Source organism: Homo sapiens, chromosome 1 (assembly GCF_000001405.40).
Source record: "Homo sapiens chromosome 1, GRCh38.p14 Primary Assembly".
Classification (NCBI taxonomy): Eukaryota; Metazoa; Chordata; class Mammalia; order Primates; family Hominidae; genus Homo; species Homo sapiens.
Window position 1 is genome coordinate 24,083,853 of NC_000001.11, and position 22,429 is coordinate 24,106,281.

Below are 22,429 nucleotides of genomic sequence, written 5' to 3' on the forward strand. Positions count from 1 at the left end.
TTATGTAACCTCTCCATGCCTCAGTTTCTTCATCTGTAAAATAATAAAAATAATAGTCCTACACATTTAGGCTTGCAGGTAGAACTAGATGACCTCACATATGAAAAATGCCAGAACAGTACCTGGCGCAGGGTAAATATTGTGAAATGCTGGGCTTCATTATCATTATGGCCCCCTTTCAAGGATGCCTGGTGCAGGAAGAGGGGTGATCTGGTTTGGCTCTGTACTCCCACTCAAATCTCATGTTGAATTGTAATCCCCAGTGTTGGGGGAGGGACCTCGTGGGAGGAGATTGGATCATGGGGGCGGATGTCCGCTTTGCTGTTGTCAAGATAGGGAGCAAGTTCTCATGAGATCTGCTTGTTTGGAAGTGTGTAGCACTTCCTGCTTTGCTCTTTCTCCCTCTCCTGCTCCCGCCATGTAAGACATGCTTCCTTCCCCCTCGCCTTCCGCCATAATCATAAGTTTCCTGAGGCCTCCCCAGAAAAAGAAGCCTGTATAGGTCGCAGAACTGTGAGCTGATTAAACCTCTTTTCTTTATAAAAGAAATTACCCAGTCTCAGGTATGTCTTTATAGCAGTGTGAGAACAGACTGATACGGGTGGGCAGACGTACCTGGTGCCTTGGATGGGTTTGTTGTTAACTGTTTGCCACTCAGATGTCCCCACCTTCCGGGAGTAGATGTAATAACCCAGGAGCTCTGGGTCTTTCACAGGATCCCATGTCAGGGAGACAGAGGTCTGTGTGTCTCTGAAAGCTTGAACTTGAGCTGGAGGAGGGAGGGTAGCTAAAAAATAGAAACATGGGCTGAATGAGAAGGCTGAGTTACATGGGTCTGACAGGCTGGGGAAGGGGAGGAGCATGGGGAGAGGCCAGAAGGAGCTCCCACAGCAATCAAGGTGCATGAATTCCTGACCTGCTGGGGGCTTTGGGACCTCTTCCCTAGGCCCAGAAGTGTATCCTAAAAGTCCTCTCTCCCCTTACCTCTGAGCATCTCTGCTTCCTCACTAAAGCACAAAAGCATACTCACTCATTCATCCTTACACACACACACTCTCTCTCACTCAAAAGTCACCAAATCTGATAGGTTTCCTCAGTCCTTATCTTTAATCTCAGTTTTCTTTCCTTGAAATTTCTCTACTGATTTTCATGGCTCCCTGAAACTAAGCTTTTTGAGATAGGGGCTGCTGTAACTTGTTAAATGGATGGATGGATGGTTGGTTGAATGAATGGATGGATGGATGGTTGGTTGGATGAATGGATGGATGGATGGATGGATGGATGGATGGACAGATGGATGCATGGACAGGTGGATACATGGATGAATAAATGGATGGATGGATGGATGGATAGATGGATGGATGAATGGATGGATGGATGGACAGGTGGATTCATGGATGAATAAATGGATGCATGGATGGATGGATAGATGGATGGATGGATGGATGGATGGATGGATGGATGGATGGACAGGTGGATACATGGATGAATAAATGGATAGATGGATGGATAGATGGATGAATAGATGGATAGATGGACTGATGGGCAGATGCATGGATGGACTGATGGATGGCAGGTGCATGATCTTCCTAGTTCTCTTTTTATTTCTAAACTCCTTACACATCCTTTGGTTGTTCTCTATTTTCTTTTGGCCCCCAAACGTTGGACTCATCCAAGCTTCTGTTCCTTGACCTGCTCCACTTTTTCTCCTCTCTTCTTATTCCTAAGGGTCCTGCCTATCCCAGGTCTTCATCCCTCACCTGTTTGAAGGCTTCACCTCTAGCCCTGCCCTCCCTTCCTTTCTGAATTATACCAGAGCCTTGCCTGGTACAATTTAAGTGTGGTTTATGGTCCAGAGACTGCCCACATCTGATGACTAATTGCTCACTGGCCAGGCCCCAAATCAAATCCAAATGTTAACCAGAAGTAAAGAAAAGCACCACTTGCTCACCAACTTGTTCATATGTGCCGTGTGTGTATGTGTGTGTGTGTGTGCGCGTGTGTATTTTTTCCCCTCTAAATTATTGAAGCAGAACAAATCTAGAACTTTGAAATCTTCCCCAAATGGGACCTTCAGCAAACCAGGCTTTTCTTGCATAGGTGGTACTGTAGCAAGGTTCCTTAAAGGGCTGATTGTGATGGCAGCTACGGGGAATCTGATGAGAGGGTAAAGAACCTCAGAATCCAGAGGCCTCAGAGGTGGGAGCCCTGGGAAGCTGGGGTCAGGATGCAGTTGCAGTTGGGAGACTCAGGAAGGAGCCAGAGGTGGGAGCAGTGATGGGGCCCTTTAGAACAATGGGTTTGCCAGTTGAGGACAGCAAGGTGTGCAGCTTGGAAATGACTCTCCCAGGTCCCCCGTTATGCTGCAGGTGAGTGGTGTCCTGCCTGGTAAGCCAGGGCTCAGGTGGGACAGCTCAACCCCCACCAGACAAGGAGCAGGGGGCTGCTTGGGAGTGAGCTGCAGGATCTAGGGGCAGGCCAGAGACCTGTGGAACGGAGGGACCAGTTGCTTGCACAGCTGCTGTGCAGGGCCCAGCTGTGCACTCTAACCCATGCATTGCTGATCTGGAAAAAGGCAGAAGGCTCTCTCCCTCCATGAGCCTTCTGCCCAGAGAAATGTGATTTCTGATGTCTTAAAACTCCCCAGGCCTGAGATCAAATTGCTTTTCAGCTTCATGATGGGTAGAAGGGAGCGGGGACAGGGAAGTGGGCAGGGCTTTGTCCCTGCAGCTTCAGGTCCTGAGCCTGGCCTGGCCTGCCTCCTCCCCGACCCCCGGCATCAGGAGGGTACCTGGCGGGCCCCGCAAGGCGATGGGTTCGCTGGGCTCCGAGGGATCGCTCAGGCCATACTGGTTCATTGCTCGCACTCTGAAGACATACGACTTCTTTTTCTCCAGGTCCAGAACGGCGAATCTCGGGGATCTCACAGGGCTTTCCGAGCTGATGGCCTCCCAGGTGCCACTACCTATGACTGACTGAAGAAACAGAGGGACTCACATTGGCTAACTGGTCGCCCAGACCGGCTCTGTGCTGGTCACCTCCCATGATCTCTGTCCCCAGCCCGTGTGCTCTCATGATCCTCTATACTCAGCCCAGGCTGCCCCTGAGCATGGGGCTCTGCCCCATCTGCCTCCTCACCTCTCCACCCGGATTCCTACCGAGACCTCACGTCCAGCCTGTCCACAACGCGGCTCCAGAGCTTCCCACACCTGCATTGCACTGGTGGCCCCCATCCTTCCAGTCCCTCGGGTGAAACCCCTGGAGCCACCCTTGGCCCTTCCTCTCTTTGTCTCATGCCCTAAATGTGCTCCATGAATGAACCCAGTTGGCTCACCCTTCAAAATTTACCCAGAAACCAGCCATGCCTTATTGTCCTCATGCTCCCCACCATAACCTTGATGCAGGCTGCCAGCACCCCGCACCTGAACGATCTCAATGGCCTCTTGACTGGTCTCCCCTCCATTTCTACCTATAACCCCCTTCCGTCTTGTCTCAAATGGCCATCAGGGGGATCCTTTTATAGCACGTGTCAGACCAGGTCCCTGTCTGCCCAGAACCCTCCCACGTCCCGCATCTCCCTCAGAGCAAAAGCTTCCCCATCGCCTGACCCCTCGGCCTGTCTGGCCACCGTTCCCTCTGCCCTTAGTCTCTGTGCCTCTCTGCTGTTTCCTGAGGGTCCAAGTCCCACCTCTGGGCCTTTGCACTTGCTGGTCCCTCAGCCTGGAATGTTCTTCTCCGAGAAATCTCTTGGCTTCCTGTAGGCCTTTAATAAAAATCCACCTTCCTGGGCAGTGGGGAGGCCATCCCAGCCACTCCATCTAAAAATGTCAGCAGCTCCTCTCCCCACACTTCAAGTTCCCCTCCCTGCTCAATGTCTTTCTCCTTAGCGCCTACCACTCACTACTGTGCTTAATATTCTACTGATTTACTCCATTTATCATTGGCACCCCCTCCCCTGACTGCCGTGTCCCTAGGGCCAAGAACAGGACTGGCACATAGCAGGTGCTCCATCTATGTTTCTGGGACAAATGAATGAACAAATGAATGAATTCTCACAATAACCCTGCAGGAAGGTGTTAATTTCTCTGCCGATGAGGAAAGTCAGGTTCAGAGAGTTTCGGTAACTTGGCCAAAAGTCCTGCATCTAATAACTGGTGGATATAGTATTAAACTTCACTCAGGTGTGGTTGGCTGCGAACCTGTTTACTCTCCACAGCATCAGGGACCCAGAAGGCAGCCAGAAACCCCGAGTCTCTGGGCAGATGGAGGGTGGAGAGCCCAGGGTGAGACAGATGAGTGAGGTACCCAGAGACCCTTTCTGCTGAGTCTGGGCAAGAGAGTTAAGACCTAGAAGCACAAGGGGACCCACTGATTCCACGCTCTGTGGTTTTCCCCCCACAAGCCCATCTGGCTGTCAGTGGCCTAGACCAGGTAGGACAAGAAATTGCCATAAGAAACCATGAACACTGCTGAGCTCCTACTGTGTGCCAGGCTCCATTCTAAGTCTTTATGTGCGCTAATTAATTTGATCCTCACATTAACCCTACAAGCTGTGTATGATTATTATCATTTTATGGAAGAAGAAACAGAGGCACAGAGAAACTAAGTAACTTGCCCAAGGTCACGCAGCTGGTAAGTAGCAGAGATAGAATTTGAACCCAAGCAGTCTGACGCCAACATCTTCACCATGATACACTACCACCTTGTGAAACAAATCCTCAATTATCTACAGCTTTCCTATGTCGGAGAAAAAGGATTACCCATGAGTGTGAAAAGAGAGGCCTGTTTGGATAATCAGAGCCAGAGATTCCTCCCTGGAAATTTTAAATTCATTTATTCCCTAAACATTTTCTGTCCACCTAGTTTGTGCCAGGCATTGTGCTGGGCACAGAAAGTAATGAGAAGATAAACTTAGTCTCTGACTTCAGGGAGATAGTCAAGAACACCTCCTTGGGAAGCACTGACAGATCCCAGGGGTTGCTGGCTTTGGCTGTGGGCTGTGTTTTATTTCATCTTCACAGGGCAGGTTCTCTATTCTATGCTGGAGGAAACTGAGGCTCAGAGAGTTTAGGACACTCACTCAGGATCACACAGCACAAGGAAGGATTTGAATAGATTTTGACACCATGCTGTCTTCTACTCTGCCATACTGCCCCCCCTCCACTGTGAAGTTCACTCCACAAGACCTGCCTCATCCCCGCCGGGGTCTCCCCTGCCCCCACTCCCCAGTGAGAGCCACCTCCTAGTGCTAATCACACCATAGGCTCTGCAAGTGCTGCTGGTGCCTGTCCCTGGCTGGAGGGTACCAGCCTTGTTTCCCTCCCAACATAGTCCCACCAAGAAGTGCTTGGCCCCAATGTGTGGTCTGATGCCATCTGGCTTGGGGGCAGGGAGGTACCCAGGAAGTGGTGGATCGTATTGTCATTGTTGTCTGTGTCTTGTATTTTGTGTATTTCCACGAACAGCCTCAGGAACGACCAGCAGTGACTGGCTTCCAGGGCTAGAGGTAGCTGCAAAAGGCTATTCAATCCATCCCCTTGCCTCTGTGTAGGGCCATGCCTGGGCCCTTCTGGCCAGGGGATTCTCTTTCATTCTCTGACGGCCTCCCCAGGGGACACTGCCCAGGGTCCCACAGCACATCTGTTTCTCAGGCTGGCCTGGGGCTGGGGCCTCGGGGTTCCCTACCTTCTCCAGGGAGTACGTCAGTGGTGCTCTGTCCCGGGGGCTGGGCTCCTCCCAGGCCAGAACCACATAGGCCTCTCGGATCTCGCTGGCATGGACATTGGTTGGCGGTGAGGGGATGGTCACAGTATCTGAAATCAGAGTCACCCGGGACCGAGATGGTTGGACCCTCAGAGACCCCCTAATCTCAGTGCCTCATTCCATGGAAGAGGGAACTACACCCCTACCCATCCCCCAGAGAGGGGCAGTAGTTGGCTCCAGGTCACTCAGCAATGCTGGGCAGAGCCGGGGCTAGAACCCAGGTCTCCCACTGCTCTGGCCAGGACTTTTCCCAATGTGTTCCCTCCTCCAGGAGGGCCACAGCCAGATGGGCCACAGTGACCCCAGCACTCTGACTGCCTCCAACTAGGCCCCACCTGCCCTCATCCCCCACACCCTGCACTGGGACAGCTTCTGCCTCTTTGCCAGCTCATGTCCCAGAGTTTTGAGAACTATACAGGAGGCCCAGTGTGTGGGAGGATCCCGCGTACCTTCAAAAGCGTCTGTGCTGATGGTGATCTTGTTTCCCAGATCAAAGGGGATCTCTAGGATGAGAAGGGAGCATGGGAGGGTGGGGGGTGGCACAGGAGGAGTTAGGCCAGGAGCTACCCCACACCAGGGTCTGCGTCCTGCCCCGTCCCAGTCCTGGCCTTGCAGCCCTCGCTGTGCAACCTCAGACAGGTGCCCTCCCTCTGGCCTCAGCTTTCTCAGGAGTCCCAAGTGGAGCCCTGCTGCTCTCAGGCCCTGGCACATGCTCTTCCTCTTGGGACAAGTGGAGACAGAGAGGAGGAGGGAGGTGCCTGGCGCTGGGCACCCTGCCACGGTGGAGCTTCTAGCACACCCAAGTCAGCGTGGCTCCCGAGGGCTGAGAGGAGGCCGTGTCCCCGCACTCGAGCTTAAGGACATCTGACAGGTGCTGGGGTAGGGTGCTCCCTCAGACTGGTCTCTCCCATGGACAGGTTTGGTTTCTCCCATTAGACTAGCTGTATCTTCCTTCTCAGGCTAGGGGTTCCTAAGGACCGGATTGTGTCTCCTCCATCAGACTGGAAGTTCTCGAGGGCTGGCCTTTGTCTCCTTCATCAGACTAGTGTTTACTGAGGGCTGGGCTGTGCTTCCTCCACCAGACTCGGGGCTCCTGAGGGCTGGATTGTCTCCTGTGTGAGACAGTCCTGAGGGTTCCCTGACTGATGTTCTAGAAAGTCGCTTAGGACCTCTGTACCCACCTGTCTTCCTCCGGGCTGCATCATGGTCACCCATGACAACCAACTCTGAGGCCTTGGAGGGGACGCTGCTGCCTACCCTGCTGATGGCTCTCACCCGGAACCGATAGCTCTGACCTTCGACGAGGCCTTGGATTGGGCACCGACAAGTCCCTCCGGGGGCCTCATGGCAGGCGATCCATTCCCCAGACTCGCCCTGGCACCTGTTGGAGACAGGCCCCCCCTTTCAGCCCCTGCCCACAATGCACACCTTCCCAATGTGAGCCTCTACAAGGGCCTTTCTCTGACTGGGGGAGCCTGCCCAGCTCATCTCTGCCAATTAAAGTTCTTCTCTCCAATGGAAGAGCCTGGCTCCAACCTCGGGCCCCCGGGAGACCTTTTCACCATCCCTGACACTGACCAGCAGCAGTGCCTTTCATGGGGCATCATCGTGAGCCTGTGACTGTGCTGTGCCCTCCACACCCAGCCCTCGTTTTATCTCCCTGGCAGTCCTAGGGGGCACGTGTGGTCACCTTCACTGCACACATGGAGGATCTGTGGCTCAGAGAGTGACAAGACCTGCCCAAGGTCACACAGTTAGGATTTACCTGAGCTTGTCCCCTCCCTAAGTTGGCATGCATTCCAGGTTGACCCTCCAAGCCTGGGCTCTCTGTACCCTCTTGGTACCATTGTTCCAGGCAGTACGACAGTGCACGTTACCCTTATTGTTACCAGCTGGTTGAGGTAGTCGTCACATGTGGGTCCAAGTCTTGTCTCCACCACTAATGACAAATGTGTCTTTGAGCAAAGTCATCTCCCCACATACTTTGGTTTCCCCATCTATAGAAGAGGGCATTAGATAGTCCCCCTCCCCTTTAGAGACGGGTCATTGGAAGGATGGAAAGAGATGAGGCATGCCCTTAGCACGGTCATGAGCCTGTCCGTGGCAGCATTAGCTATTTTCTCAAGCTGGGCCTTCAGAGCCGGCCACACTGGAAAAAGGCCGGAGGTTCTGGCCTCTCTACCTGTTTGCCTCCTCCCTTGGGGTCAGTGCTATTCCATCTCTCTCTGTCATTAGGAAGGAAACTAGCCCACGAATTCACTGTGCTCAGGGTTCAAGCACTCCCCGTTTTGCCCCTCTGGGTCAGCTCTAGAGGGTCCACAGGGCAGTGGCCGACTCCAGCATAGAATTCCAGTTATCAGCATGACAAAGACTTGGAGGTGTGGATGCCCCTCCATTGCCCCTAAATGACACAGCACAGCCTGTCTCCTGTCCTTTTCTGAGGAGCGGGGGTGTGAGGGTTCTCTGAGGTCAGACATGGGGCCTCCTCTTTGCTGTGGCTCCCACCACCAGACAGAATTCTACCCCTAGGGCCTCTGCCACTCACGAGGTCGACTCACCGCTCAATGGTGTAGGCAGTGATGGGGTTGCCCCGGGTGTCACTGGGCGGGGCCCAAGTCAGGATGAGGCAGTCTCTGTTCACATCCAGGCATCGGACGTTCAGTGGGGAGCCTGGGGCCCCGGGGTTCTCGGCCTCGGCATCTGAAACCCGGGGGTGAGAGGGAGGCCCTTCTAGTCAGTGGCCATTTGGTGACAGGCCCTTCCCACTCCCGCCCAGCATCCTCTTCTCATCCATCCTCCAGGGGCTCAGTTTTGATCTTGAGGACTGGGGCCTGAATATTAGTCCCACTACCCCCATAGCAGTATCTGAGGGAAGGATGACAGTACCATTTCTTGGGGGCCCATTTTACACCAAGTACCTGAACAAGTGGAATAATTAATTCCAGCCCCAGAGCAGCCTTCCCCTCTTTGGATGGGGAAACTGAGTCTCCTGGAGGTGAGTGAGTGACCTGCCCAAAGTCACCCAGCTGGTGAAGTGACAAAGCCAGGATGTGAACCCAGGCCCTAAGCAGTGGCCAGAATCACTCCAGCCCCACACTCAGCTCCCAGCCTCCCTGGCTCCAGCCAGGCTAACTCTCGGGCCATGTCCCTTTGGAGGGTCATAGGATGCCACGGGGAGTCTTGGAGACCCCAACCCAAAGCCCTGATTTTATGGTAGAGAAATTGAGGCCCCAAGAGAGCAGGGTCCTTGCCTAAGGTTCCACAGCAAACAAGGGGCAGAGCCCTGGTCTCTGGGCTCCTGCTGCTACCCTGCGCCCACCCATGCCCTCACCTCTCACAAGCACGTAGGTGCTCTGTTCCCGGGGTCCGAAGGGCGAGGGCACCCGGACCATGTAGAGCCCCTCGTCCTCCTTGTAGGTGCAGGACACCTTCAGGGATGCCTGGCGGTCTGTGTAGAGGATCTTCCGACGTCTCGAGGACCTCAGTAGGCTCCCTGTGGAGGGGAAGTGGGGGGCCATTGAGTTTGTGGGGGGTCCTGGTCTCACCTGGGAACCACAGAAACTGGGGGGTCTGGAGACCCTGGCTGGGCAGAGAGAGAGGCTGGTGAGGCTCAGCTCAGGCCTTGGGTGGGGGTGGTGGCCTCCAGGGCTTTGCCAAGGCAGGCAGTGGAGAACTCTCCTTTGCAGAGGGCTTGGGGAGTAGGGAAGGGCCAGTGCGGGGCTGGGGCTCAATGAGGGAGTGAGGGTTTAGGGACATAGCCAGTGACAAGGTGAGGAGTTGTAGGTTCTCTGAGGGAGTAGGAGCAAGAGAGATGGGTCCCTGTATGGGGTCAGGGGACTCAAAGAAGGAGGGCCCGTTTGGGGGAGGTGGGAGCTCAGTAAAGGGCCTGGGTCTCACTGAGAGAGCTGGGGCCTCGGTGAGGCGGGTGGAGGACGTGTCGTGGGGTCAGGGGTCAGGTAAGGGAGTGAGGGCTCTCGGGATGGGAGCTTAGGAGGTGGATGGGGACTCAGAAGTGGAGTCCAGGGCTCAGGGGCGGGCCCTGCCTTGAGGCCACACTGTGGGGCCAGCTCTTCTCTTTGCCCCATGTGAAGGATCCGCCCTCCATTCAGCACCTCCATTCTGGAAGATCTACACGTTTGGGAAGACGTCTCAGCCTTGTTATTGCAGCTGTCAGGGATCCTGATGGCTCCCATACTCCCTGCTCCCAGCAGGTGCAGCCTCCCTGGGCTCAGAGCTGGGGGTGCCAGAGGGGCACTGTACTCTGGGTCCTTAGGCTATAGGCCTAGTCATGGATTGGGTAGGAGGTCCAGCCGTCGTCCTCCTCCCTCACTGGGCCACGTCTTCCTGCCTTGGCTCTGACCAGGCTTCTCAAGGCCTCGCCTGAGACATCCCCAGAGGCCTCCCAGCCCACGGGTCAGCAACTGTATCTGCACCACCACCCTGACTCTGCAAAGTCCGATGCAACTGTTGCAGCCTGCCCTGAGCACTTGTGGTGCCCTCCTGCCTCCCGATCTTGGGGCTCTGTTCCCATTGCTTTGAGTGCCCTCACTCACTTTTTTTTTTTTTTTTTTTTGAGATGGAGTCTTGCTCTTGTCCCCCAGGCTGGAGTGCAATGGTGCCATCTCGGCTCACTGCGACCTCTGCCTCCTGGGTTCAAGCGATTCTCCTGCCTCAGCCTCCCGAGTAGCTAGATTACAGGCACCCACCAACATGCCTGGCTAATTTTTGGTATTTTTAGTAAAGATGGGGTTTTGCCATGTTGGCTAGACCTGAACTCTTGACCTCAGGTGATCCACCCACCTCAGCCTCCCAGAGTGCTAGGATTACAGGTGTGAGCCACCACGCCTGGCCTCCCTCCCTCACTCTTAGGGAGGTAATGATGCATGCAAATGGCTGAGCAGGTGCCTGGTCAGTGCCAGCGGCTACAATTGTGCTGATGGCTTCCTCCCTCCTCCCAGGTGGACACAGCCCCCTGGGCTCATGCACATCTGCCCCTACCATTTACCCCAGCCCTAACCCAGGGCCTGGCACCCCACAGATGCTTGGTGGCCATTTATGGGGTGGCATGATCTGACCACACCTGGCTGCACTCCCGCTCTCCTCTGCCTCTTCAGCACTTTAGCACAGTTGGTACTGGTTGGGGAGAGTCTCTGTCCGCTAGGGGTCCTCTCTGGCTCTGAGTTGAGCTTTGGAGGGGCCAGCTCTGGAGGCTGGGGGCCAGGACTGGGGGTCCTTACCATCTCGGAACCACTGGATGCTCTCAGCATCTAACACATCTTCCGAAAACAAGCATGACAGGGAGAAGGGTTCCTTCTCACGAGCAAAGACTGGCTTCAGCACCGAGGTGAATTCCACGCTGGGGCCAAACGTCGATCCTGGCGTGGGAATGAAATTTGGGGCAGAAGTTTTTGAGGCAGCCAGCCTGGCCTGGGACTTAGGAGTGAGGAAATTTCTGGGGCATCCCTTCTCTTCTGGGTCTTGACTAGGAGAAGGGGACCTGGCCTTGGGGTAGGAGGGGAAGAGACTTATCTAGGTAGTGGTCAGAGCAGCCAAAGAGCAAACATCCCAAGGCCAAGTCCGTTGGTTTTTCTGGCTTTGCCTTTCAAACCCAGTTTAGGTCAGAGAACAGCTCAGCAGCTGGGGACAGCTCTGGGGTACCCTGCGGCCTTTAGAAGTCAGGTGCAGGTATTACCAGCTCATAGACAAACCCCGGTGGACGTCCTTTTATGGGCAGGGGATGGCTATATTCTAAACAGGGACTGTGGGGGTCGGGGAGCAAAGCCTGAACAAAGAATCCCAGGTCCCGTTCTCCCCCAGCCGACTTACTTTTGAAGATCTCTGAATCGAAGCCAGCATCCTTCCCCAGGTAAGCTGAAAAACCAAAGGCAAACAGAGTTGGAGAAGGTTCAGAGCCCACATTCCTATGCTATTTTGGGGACATGGGCTTTGGATATGAGTTTGAGTCCTGGTCTGTTGGTGGCTTCCCCTTGTGGCTTTGGGAAAGTTCTTTTACCTCTCTGTGCCTCAGTTTCTTCAGCAGTAAAATGGGACAGTAATTCCTACCTGGAGCAAGGAACGAGCGGGTTCACATGAATCAAGCCACCAGCCATAGCCTGACACATGGCAGGTTCTCAATACATGCTGGTTTCCTTTCCCTACCCAAACTTGCCCCCAGGATTATGCACTGTCTTCACAGCGGTCAAGCCCGCTCAGAGGCGCGGGGATTTCTGGTGGGATCAGGGAGAGTGGTGGGGGAGGGGCAGCACTGAGAGGCATCCAGGGGCTGAAGGGTGAAATCCAAGGTAATGTTGCCACAGACCACCAGAGAATAGTAACAGCAGCTCTCACTCACACAGTGCTCGCCCCATGCTCTGAGGATTGAACGAGCCAATTAAACACATAAACACATTGACTCATTCTATCTTCACAACAGCCCTGTCAGTTGGTACTATTATTATCCTCTCAAACAGAAGAGAAAACTGAGGCACAGCCGTCCAGACAACACCCCAGCAGCCTGAAGCTATGACATGACACTGGTCCCTGGAAAGGCCCTTCCTGAGCAAGGTCCAGAGAAGGGCAGGAGGCTGCCCGAGATCACACAGGTCAGTGGAAGAGTCAGGATTGGAACTCAGGGCTCCTGTCCCCCAGGCCACTAAAATCACCCAAGTGGCTACGGAGATGAAAGCAGAGAAGAGGGTGGTAGTGGCGGTGAGTGGAGTAGGAGAAGCAGAGGGTTGGCTGGAGTCTGGGGCCAAGAGCAAGCCTGGTGGACCCTGGAGTTGCCAGCCTTGATGGAGAGAGGGACAGGGATCTGGAAGGAGTGGTGGGAAGGACGGGTGGGCAGAGGGAGGCAGGGCCCCAGTCCCTGACCTTGGGCTTGACTCTGGGCATGGACTGTGGGGACAGCTCAAATTTCTGCACAAGAGCTTGGCCTGGCAGCAGGATCTGCCTCCTAAGAGCTATTTAGGGAACAGGACAGTGGGTGGAGAGGGCTGTGCAGGACAGTTTAACAAGGTCTGATGAGAGGCAGGGAGGGTGGCCTGGGATCCACCTGTCTACTGCCCAAGACAGCTGCCTCAGGAGTGTGTGTATGAGTGCGCGTGTGTGTATGAGTGCACGTGTGTGTGTGTGTGTATGTGTGCACACGTGGGCTTCTCTCTCCCGGGGGTCCTGGAACTCAGGGCACGGCATTCTTCTGGGCCCAAAGGTGTGACCCCCTTGGGCAGTGCCCTGCCCTGGTCATGGGAATGGGTACCACATGCCAAGGCTTATACGTATCATCTCATTTAATCAACTCGGGCATCTGAGAGAGGTGGTAGGATTGTAGGATTCTCCCTTTCACAGATGAGGAAATAGAGGCTCAGGGAAGTGAGGTGGCTTCCCAGATTTACACAGCCAGTTGGCAGCAGAGCCAGGATGTGAACTCAGGTCTGGCTGACTCCTGAGTGTCTACCTGCTTTATGCTGTGATTTCAGATGCCCATGGGGTGACCTCCAGGAGGGGCCCAAGCCCAGCTGGAAAATGTGCAAAAGGACCCACATGGGGCAGTGGGGGTCAGGTGGGGAGTTGCTGGGGTTTGGCTTTTGTCCCTGAGGACCCCTCAGCAGGGTTGGTGGGGCCAGACCACCCTCCCAGAGGCCCTGAGATGGATCCCAACCTAAGCGCAATCCGGTGGGCCAAGCATGCTCTTTGGCATGGCGGGCAGGTGGGTTCGCCTTGAATAACTGTGTAGGTTGTGCTCTGTGCAAAGTTATCCCCTGAGAGAGCAACTTGGGGGCTAAAATTCAGTCTGTTTTCCATTTGCCAAGCCATGTGCCCTGGAGTGGGAGCTGCACCTGCCTGCAGAAAAGGGGCCCCTTTCGCTAATTCATCCATTCAGTTCACACAAAGGTGCCCACCATGCCAGTGATGACTCTACAGAGAGAGCTGAGTTCAAGTCCCAGCCCTGCCACCGGCTGGCTCAGGATGGAATCAGGTACTATCAAGGGTGTCTGGCACACAGTGAAGACTCAGGAGAGGTCAGTTCCCTTCCCATCTCCCAGCTGCTCTTGACACCAACCCACAGGGACAGGTGATCCTGCCTCACTCACCTTCCACCATCAGCCCAGGCTGATGGAGGAGACTATCGCTTGCTGTGAAGGCCCCCAGGGAAGCGGGAGTCTCCAGGGCTGCCCTGGTCACCCAATGCCAGGCTGAACAGCCTTGTGCCTATGGCCCTTCCTCAGGTCTCACGCAGACCCATGTCCTTGTCTGCCCAGCTTGGGTTTGCTGTGGCCCGGAGTGCCTGTTGGGGTTGGGAGGACTTACTGCGGACGAGGACTTTGGCGAAGGAGGAGGCCTGGCCGTGGGCGTTCTTCACTCGCACAGTGTAAGTTGCTGAGTCCTCAATGGCGCATCTGAAAAGGAGAGAGGGAGAAGTTCCTCCCAAGACTGCTGGGCTCCATGGGAAACACAAGTCCCCTGTGTGGGTGGGAAAGGCTGGAACTAAGGAAAGCCTCACGGTGCCAGGAAGAGACTTTGGTCATTATCTCTGAAAAGCTGTGTGTTTTCTGGTTGGCCACTGCACCTTTCCATGCTTCGGTGTCCTCTGAAAAACTGGGGACACGACACCACCTAAACCGTCTCAGGAGAAAGTGCTTTAAAAATATGACATGCCACATTGCAGTTATTGCTGACTGTGGAGGATCAGAGAGGTTAAGTGACTTTCCCAGAGTCACAGAGCAAATGGAACTCAACTCAGCTTCAAACAAGGATCCTGGAGCGGGAGCCTCCTCCTTTCTCAGAGAGCAGCAGACAAACTTGGTCAAGGCAGGCTGCAATCTGGATAGAACTGAGCCAGACACCCAGGTGTTCCCAGTCTTAGGTGTGGGTCTCACCACCAACCAGGCCAACCCTGTCATGTTCCCAGTGGAAGCCTGGGCCAGCTCCATCCCAGGGGCACCCTGGTGACAGAGAGGAGGTGGTCGGATGTGGCACCTCTGGCCCCATTAGCAAGCAGAGGCCCCTTGGTGCCTCCTTTTTGCCCCTGGTCACTCAGCACAGGAACCCCTCTTGCTTCCAGGGCCAGTCCTGCCTGCCCCGGAGGTCCCCCTGGGCCTGCGCACCTTCCTTGACTGTGGAGTCCATGGGGCACCTCCCTTATATGGTCAGATATTTATGTCTCCCCACTTCTGAAGGGTAAGATGAGTGTTCTGCTTATCTTTGTGTCTCTGAGGCCTGGGTTGGTTGAGGTGGAGGGTTTGGTGTTTGGGAAACAACCCAGATAGAGAGAAATGGCTCACACCAGGCCCTGTCGCATAGTAGCTGTACAAGAGCCTTAACTTTCTGAGCCTGTTTCATCACCTGCGACATGGGGTGCTTCCCTCAAGCATGGTGGCAGGGATTATGGATCGTATGTGAAAAGCACCCAGCACAGGGCCTGGCACCTGGGAGGAACTCAGCGTGTGGCAGCTGATATGAATGATGAGTGACACAGGCCTTGGGGAGGACTGCACTCTTATATTCCCGTGTGGCCTCCCAGCATGCATCCTGCCTCTTCCCTCAAAACCATGCTTAGGACGCACCATCTCCTGAAAGGCTGAACTCTCTCCCATGTCACTGCTTCCCCTCACATGTGTATGTTTGGGTACATAAGCACATGTGTGAGCACTGTGTATGTGCATGTATGCATATGTGTGTGCACAGGTGCATATGTGTGCATATTATGGTATTTTTCTCTCCCCCACAAGGAGCCTTCCCAGCATGCCTAGTTCAGCATCCAGTCCTCACGGCCAGCCTCTGAGTCCAAATTTCTCACCGTGTATCTCAAGGCATCGGAATCACATGGTGGGTGTGTGTGTTAAATATTAATTCCTGGGCTCCATTCCAGACCTGCTTAATCTGAATCTCTGGGGGTGGGGGGAGGGTCTGTCCTGTCCCAGGAATCGGTATTTTGACCAGCACCCTAGAGACTTCTGAAGGAGGTGAACTTGGGCCTCAGCTCCGAGGAAGGGTTTGGGATCCTGCTCTGGCCTCGGCGGTGGCAGGGTCTGGGGTCATAGGTCTCTCCAGGTCTCCAGTCTCACCTCCTAATCTCCAGGGACAGCAGCCCGTAGTTGTTGGTGATTCGGTATTTTCCGGCACGAAAGAGGCGGGGATCAATCCGTGTGTCATTTTTGTACCTGTGGGGACATAGCGGTCTGTGGCAGGCAGGGTGGTTCTAAGCGGGAGGGGTCTGGAGCCTCTCGGATGGGGATTCCAGCTGCAGGTTTTTGTTTTGTTTTGTTTTTTTGAGACGGAGTTTTGCTTTGTCACCCAGGCTGGAGCGCAGTAGTACAATCTCAGCTCACTGCAACCTCCGCCTCTTGGGTTCAAGCAGTTCTCCCTGCCTCAGCCTCCTGAGTAGCTGGGATTACAGACGCCTTCCACCACGCCCGGCTAATTTTTGTATTTCTAGTAGAGACGGAGTTTCCCCATGTTGGCTAGGCTGGTCTCGAATTCCTGACCTCAGGTGATCCGCCCGCCTCAGCCTCCTAAAGTGCTAAGATTATAGGCGTGAACCACCGCGCCTGGCCTCCAGTTGCAGTTTTGTGTTGCTTACTTGCCTGTGCGATTGGAGCAGCACTTACGCCACTCTGAGCCTCAGTTGTCCTGACTCGTGAAATGGCGGTATGAGAACACTCGCCTCACAGGGCTGCTGTGACAATTAAATGGGATGGGCTTATAAAGCCTTTCCCCTGTGCCCACACACCGCAGGTGCTCAAGGGTTTATTTCCCTTCTGGGGGCAGAGAAGAGGGAGCCTGTAATTAAGGGCAGCTGCCCCTCCCCCTACCAAGCCATCCCCAGGGGCACCCTAGGACCAGGCCCCAGCTTTTCCCTTCCCTCCGAAGGGGCTTGCCGTGGAAGGAACCCCAGACCCCTGCCGCTCTTCCCAACCCCTGAGGATGGCTATTCTTCATTTTGGCTCTCATTACAATAGCCGGAGGAGCTTTCAAAAATCTCCATGTCCAGGCCGGGCACGGTGGCTCACGCCTGTAATCCCAGCACTTTGGGAGGCTGAGGCGGGCGGATCACGAGGTCAGGAGCTCGAGACTATCCTGGCTAACACTGTGAAACCCCGTTTCTCCTAAAAATACAAAAACATTAGTCGGGCGTGGTGGCGGGCGCCTGTAGTCCCAGCTACTCGGGAGGTTGAGGCAGCAGAATGACATGAACCCAGGGGGCGGAGCTTGCAATGAGCAGAGATCGCGCCACTGCACTCCAGCCTGGGCAACAGAGCGAGACTCCGTCTCAAAAAAAAAAAAAAAGGAAAAAATCTCCATGTTCAGTTTTTGAACATACGGCTGTGGGAATTTGTATCGGAAACTGCTAATTATTCTCCAATAGCCATTCTCGGGGGAAACAGAATTTACCCACGGGCCACCCAATATATGACGGATCTCCTTGCCTCTCTTTCTGCTCGGTGTGGCCATATGACTTAGCATTGTCAACAGCAAGCGGGGACAAGAGTCATGTGGCTGCTCCTGATGACACCCTTTGCCCCCTTTCACATCATTGTTCCCTCTGTCCTTGGCAGGAACAGGGAGGTGCCGGCGGCTGTCTCACATGCCGAAGTTCAGGGCTGCCTCTCCAGTAGTGATGTGGAGAAGCTCAGTCCCTGGGGAATCTGTGCAGCAGGTCTGTGCCGTCTGCATCCAGACGTTTAGATGGAAGAAAACAAGCTTCTAGCTTATTTAAGCCATTAAAAACAAAACAAAACTCCAGGTCCAGGCTGCATCCCAAATCAATGAAATCAGAATTTCGGGGGGGTTAGACCCTAGGATCAGTATATTGATACCCTGGGATCAGTATTTTGAAAATCCCCTGGTGAGGTCGTATGTGGTGGCTCATGCCTGTAATCCCAACACTTTGGGAGGCCAAGGCTGGAGGATTGCTTGAGGCCAGGAGTTTAAGATCAGCCTGGGCAACATAGCAAGACCCCATCTTTACAAAATATTCTTTAAAATAATTAGCTGGGTGTGGTGGGGTGTGCCTGTCATCCTAGCTACTCAGGAGGCTGAGGCAGGAGGACTGCTTGAGGCCAGGAGTCTGAGGCTGTAGCAAACCATGATTGTGCCACTGCACTACAGCCTGGGTGATAGAGCAAGACCCTGTCTCAAAAAAAAAATTTGTTTTTCTTAATGTCCTCTGGTGATTCCCAAGGGTAGTCAAGCGATTGCCCTGCCCTGGATGCCGCCCTCATTTTCTGTGAACTTGGGTCTTGTTCCCCGTGTTGTGTGAACAGGACAGTGGGGTGGCCTGGGGTCCTGGAGGCCTAAGGAGTAGGGGCTGAGGAGTGAGGGTGAGTGACACTTAGGAGGCCTGGATTTTGACACAGCTTGCTGTGTGACCTTAGGCAACTCCATACCCCTCTCTGGGCCTCTGTGTCCCTGAAGCCATGGAATGGAGTCTCATGGGATGAATGCTTCTCTCTGCCCTGTGTGGGTGGCTGAGGTTGAAGAGGAGGCCTCCCAGAGAGAGGGCACCCCAGCCTCAGCCTGCATCCTTCCCTGGACCTGGCCTCACCCATGCCATGTTTGTCTCCAGGGCAACCAAACACAGCCACACCCACGCCCCACCATGCAGCCCCCAGCCTGGCCCCCTCCTGAAAGGAGCTCCGCTAAACCTCCCACAGGGAGGGTGTTGCCTAATCTGGGTGCCCAATCTCTCCAGCTCTCCAGGCCTGGGGGCCAGGGTTAGGCCCCCTACCACACACCTGTCGGGAAGATTCCAGACACCTCAGCCTGGCCAGCTCTGCTTTTCCTGGAAAAAGCAGCTGCTGTGGCTCTGGCATGGCCGAGACAGCTGGAGACCTCAACGCTCACCCCTCCCTCTCTCTGGGCCTTAGTGTCCGCCTGTGCAGTCAGCCTGGGCAACAGAATGAGACTCCATCTTAAAAAGAAAAAAAGATTGCTTTAAAAAAAGAAAATAAGAGCAGGCATAGTGGCTCATGCCTGTATTCCCAGAGCTTTGGGAGACTGAGATGGGAGGACTACTTGAGGCCAGGAGTTCGAGACAGCCTGGGCAACATAGTGAGACTCTGTCTACAAAAAAATTGAAAAGTTAGCCAGGTGTGGGGGCACATGACTGTGGTCCCAGCTACTTGGGAGGCTGAGGTAGGACGATCGCTTGAGCCCAGGAAGTTGAGGCTGCAGTGAGCTGTGACTGCACCACTGCACTCCAGCCTGGCAACAGAGTGAGACCTTATTTCTAAATAATAATAATGATAATCATTGAATGAATAGACTTGCCTAACAGGTGAGCTGGAATATTCCTCCAGCCCTGGGGCTGGACGGAACCTCTGGAGGTCAGTCCTGGGGCAACATGTGGCCCTGCCTGATGTGATTGATGATGGAAAACCAGATCCACCAAGCCAGGAGTGCCAGGGGCCACCTGAGTTGCCCAGGCTGGAGGTGGACCTGGGCTTGGCTTCTGCCACTTGTCAGGAATGCTCAGCTCCCTGTTGTGGCAACCTCGTTGGCAGGGGTAGAAACAACTCCCAAGAGGCTTCCAAGAATGCCTTCAATGTGGTCCTCAGTGCCAGGGCCGCGCAGAGCTTGGCTGCGGGGAGGACAGCTGAGTTGCTAACCTCCACTTGGCCTGGCCAGCGCTGGGAGCAGTCCTCCTAGTGGGATCAGCAACTTGCGTGCGGGGATCGCCCAGTCCCCACAGCATCCCAGTGCCCAGCAAGGTACTTGGCATAGTTTTTGGAATAAATGCCAGCTGGGAATGACCAGCCCTGAGGCCAGCTCCCTCAAGATCCTTTCTTGATTGCTCCTGGCCTGAGTGATTTCTATTTCTCTGTCTTCTGAAGCATTGTATGTGCTTTAAGGAAAGTAACACTTATAATGGAACAGGAATTAAAAGAAAGTAAAGAATGTGTAAGCAAAAACTCAGTTGTATGTAAGAAAACCCAATTTCCCTTGAGGAAGAGAAAGAGCTGAAGTCCTTTAAAAATTAACTGCCTGTTTTTCGGTGGCTAGTGACCCTTATCTCTCCCTTTCCCAGGCATTGTGAAGACCCTGTTTCTCTGGCTGTGCAGCTGCAAGGTCACTAGGCAGATAAACTCAAGTTGTAAAACACGTTTTGCCTTGAAAAGTAAGAAATGATGTAATGCGTGTCTTAATTGAATAACTGTCTTTGTTTCATGCTTCTGTAATATGCTTCCCCCTGCACAGATCTCCCCCCGCCCCACAAAATGCTTAAAAGGTAGCTTGACTCTTTGTTCATGGCTCAGTCCTTTGGATGTTAATCCGACTGGGTTGGTGCACCTAAATAATTAAATAATTCCTTTTCAACCCCTCCATCTCTCTGATTCTTTAATTATCCCACAGCAGTAATAATCACTCTCCTACCCTCTAGGCCAGCTGAAAGAGTTATGCGCTTAGAGGCAGGAGACCTGAGTTTGAATCCTGACTCACATTGGCTGTGTGACCTTAGATAAGTCACACTACCTCTCTGAGCCTTGATATCCTTACCTGTGTAATAGGCATAATGGTTCCTATCTCATGAATGGCCCTGATGCTCAAATGCAAGTGAAGTTTTGGGTCAGTGTGACGTGGATTCAAATATAAGAGGCTGCTGTTTTCCTTTGTGTTTTCCATTATTTGTGCCCCTGTTCTCTCTCCTGCTAGACCATAGGCTGTTCCCTGTCAAGATCTGGCTCATAGGCAACCTCTTCTGAGAAGCCTTCCTGGATTCTATGGGCTGAGGTAGCTCCTTCTTCCTTTTCACCCAGACTCTTTGATCTCAAATATCACCCACGAGTATACTTCTTTGTGTGTTGATGTTTCTTTTCTGGGCTAAGAGTTAATTCCTTGAAGGTGAGATTGTGTCTGGTTATTTCTTTTCTTTTTTTTTGAGACAGAGTCCTGTTCTGTCACCCAGGCTGAAGTGCAGTGGCACAATCTCGGCTCACTGCAACCTCCGCCTCCCGGGTTCAAGCGATTCTCTTGTCTCAGCCTCCCAAGTAGCTGGGATTACAGGCACCCGCCACCATACCCAGCTAATTTTTGTATTTTTAGTAGAGACAGGGTTTCCCAAGTAGCTGGGACTACAGGTGCAGGCCACATGCCCAGCTAATTTTTAAATTTCCTGTAGAGATGGGGTCTCGCCAGCTGCCCAAGATGTTCTCAAACTCCTGGGTTCAAGTGGTCCTCCCTCCTTGGCTTCCCAAAGTGCTGGAGGTGGGCCTGGGCTTGTTTGGTTATTTGTGTGCCCCAGTGCCTCAGTCAGGTCCTGGGATAGATGACACCCTCAGTAAATATTTGTTGAAAGCCCTTCCTCATCCCCCAGGGTACTGGGCAATGGGCCTTAGACCCAGGGGGATCTCAGGAAAGAGTAGCTTAGCCATGTGAATGACACGTCTCCTTCTGTGGTGAGACTGAGACCTGGGCCGCGGCCATGCCTACTCCAATGTGTGCCTGTGCAGGAGACCCCTGCCCCTGCCCCTGCCCCGCCCCTCCCCAGGCGAGGCCTAGCCTCTGGGATTCTGCCATGGTTCCCCTCCCAGGAAGGGCATCTCCTGCTTTCCCAGCCCCCTTCAAGCCCTGAGGTTTCCATGCTGTTGTGGCGTTAAATTCTCATCACATGCAGGCCGGACAGGAGGTCTTCAATCCACTCTTCAGAACAGGAAATGGAGTCAGGACCAGGCAGTTTAAGAGGCATGGCTGAGACCTCACGCTGAGTGAGGAGAGAGGCAGAAAGCGAGGCTGGGAACACAAGGTTCTCGCTACAGGCGTGAGCTCCTTCTCCGTAGGCCCTTCCCTTCCCATCTTCTCCCTGCCCCACCCACTGTCTCCCTGCTACTTGGCCCCTGTCCTGCCTCTCACCGTCATCCTCAACCCTGGAGACGCCCAGCTTGCAGCACCTGCCTTCTCATGAGACCAGAATCATATTTTTATGAGGGCTGGCTCCCCAGGGGCCCAGTCTTCCAGCCCCAGGCTGGCTGCGGGGCAGCTAAGAATAACCCAGGCCTAAGCTGGGCGTGGTGGCTTGTGCCTGTGGTCCCAGCTACTTGGGAGGCTGAGATGGGAGGATCACTTGAGCCCAGGAGTCAAGACTGCAGTGAGCTATGATTACTCCACTGCACACAGCAGCCTGAGCGAGGCCCCGCCTCTAAAAAAAATAACCCAGGCCTGGTTCCCCAGCAGCTGCTCTATTCGGTGGGTGGACAGAGCTCAGGGTTCACAGGTCTGCAACAAGAAGTCCTGGCAGAAGTATTGGATGTGAGGAACTCACTTGTGACCCCAGAGGCCCAGAACCCCTTCCTGCCCCAGCGGCTTACCAGGTGACCTGGGGTGGTGGTGAGGCCTGGACAGTGCAGGTCAGCAGGACCGTGGTGTGCTCCCAGACGGCGTGGGAGCGAAGAGGGATCCAGAACCAGGGCCCGCGGCCGTAGCACAGCTCCCTCAGCTCCTTGGCCTCCTGGACCTTCTCCTCTGTCTGGAGGCGGGAAGAGGTGTATGACGCTGTGAGCCAGGGACCACCTCTCTGCCATCTTTGCCATTACCTCCCCACTGACACCCAGACTCTGTAGTTAGACCCACATGGGCTGGAGTTCCCGGTCCCCTCCCCTAGCTGAGCAGGGTGGCACTGTGGGCAGAGCATGGGCTTTGGAGCCAGCTGGCCTGGGGTCAAGGTATTGAC

The 22,429-nt window shown here is 54.2% G+C and overlaps 1 protein-coding gene and 2 long non-coding RNA genes across 3 annotated transcripts in view, besides 2 other annotated features; 2 read left to right on the forward strand and 1 right to left on the reverse strand.

The window, feature by feature from the left end:
- The window catches only part of MYOM3 (myomesin 3), a 56,095-nt gene that overhangs the window by 27,812 nt on the left and 5,854 nt on the right, over nt 1-22,429 (reverse strand). Inside the window, exons 5-16 of the mRNA NM_152372.4 lie at nt 22,068-22,225; nt 15,828-15,923; nt 14,071-14,159; nt 11,590-11,634; nt 11,001-11,138; nt 9,095-9,256; nt 8,322-8,463; nt 6,945-7,144; nt 6,213-6,266; nt 5,686-5,813; nt 2,792-2,975; nt 616-787 (exon numbers count right to left, since the gene is read on the reverse strand). Of these exons, the coding sequence (NP_689585.3) occupies nt 616-787; nt 2,792-2,975; nt 5,686-5,813; nt 6,213-6,266; nt 6,945-7,144; nt 8,322-8,463; nt 9,095-9,256; nt 11,001-11,138; nt 11,590-11,634; nt 14,071-14,159; nt 15,828-15,923; nt 22,068-22,225 (1,568 nt within the window). The remainder of the gene's footprint in view (nt 1-615; nt 788-2,791; nt 2,976-5,685; nt 5,814-6,212; nt 6,267-6,944; nt 7,145-8,321; nt 8,464-9,094; nt 9,257-11,000; nt 11,139-11,589; nt 11,635-14,070; nt 14,160-15,827; nt 15,924-22,067; nt 22,226-22,429) is intronic.
- Nucleotides 9,127-9,790: an enhancer, noted in NCBI's record as "H3K27ac-H3K4me1 hESC enhancer chr1:24419469-24420132 (GRCh37/hg19 assembly coordinates)". NCBI's record gives its function as "activates a minimal SCP1, AML or CMV promoter by ChIP-STARR-seq in primed H9 embryonic stem cells {active_cell/tissue: H9 hESC(primed)}" and the evidence as "EXISTENCE:reporter gene assay evidence [ECO:0000049][PMID:30033119]".
- Nucleotides 12,194-14,122, forward strand: LOC124903878 (uncharacterized). Its single transcript, XR_007065543.1, has 3 exons — nt 12,194-12,365; nt 13,572-13,738; nt 13,989-14,122. It is a non-coding gene; the product is annotated as an uncharacterized LOC124903878 (long non-coding RNA).
- On the forward strand, nt 14,854-20,079 carry LOC105376864 (uncharacterized). Its single transcript, XR_007065542.1, has 4 exons — nt 14,854-14,940; nt 15,492-15,588; nt 17,319-17,419; nt 19,790-20,079. It is a non-coding gene; the product is annotated as an uncharacterized LOC105376864 (long non-coding RNA).
- Nucleotides 17,127-17,421: a silencer, noted in NCBI's record as "tiled region #3135; K562 Repressive non-DNase unmatched - State 20:ReprD". NCBI's record gives its function as "represses a minimal TATA promoter and a strong SV40 promoter by Sharpr-MPRA in K562 cells {active_cell/tissue: K562}" and the evidence as "EXISTENCE:reporter gene assay evidence [ECO:0000049][PMID:27701403]".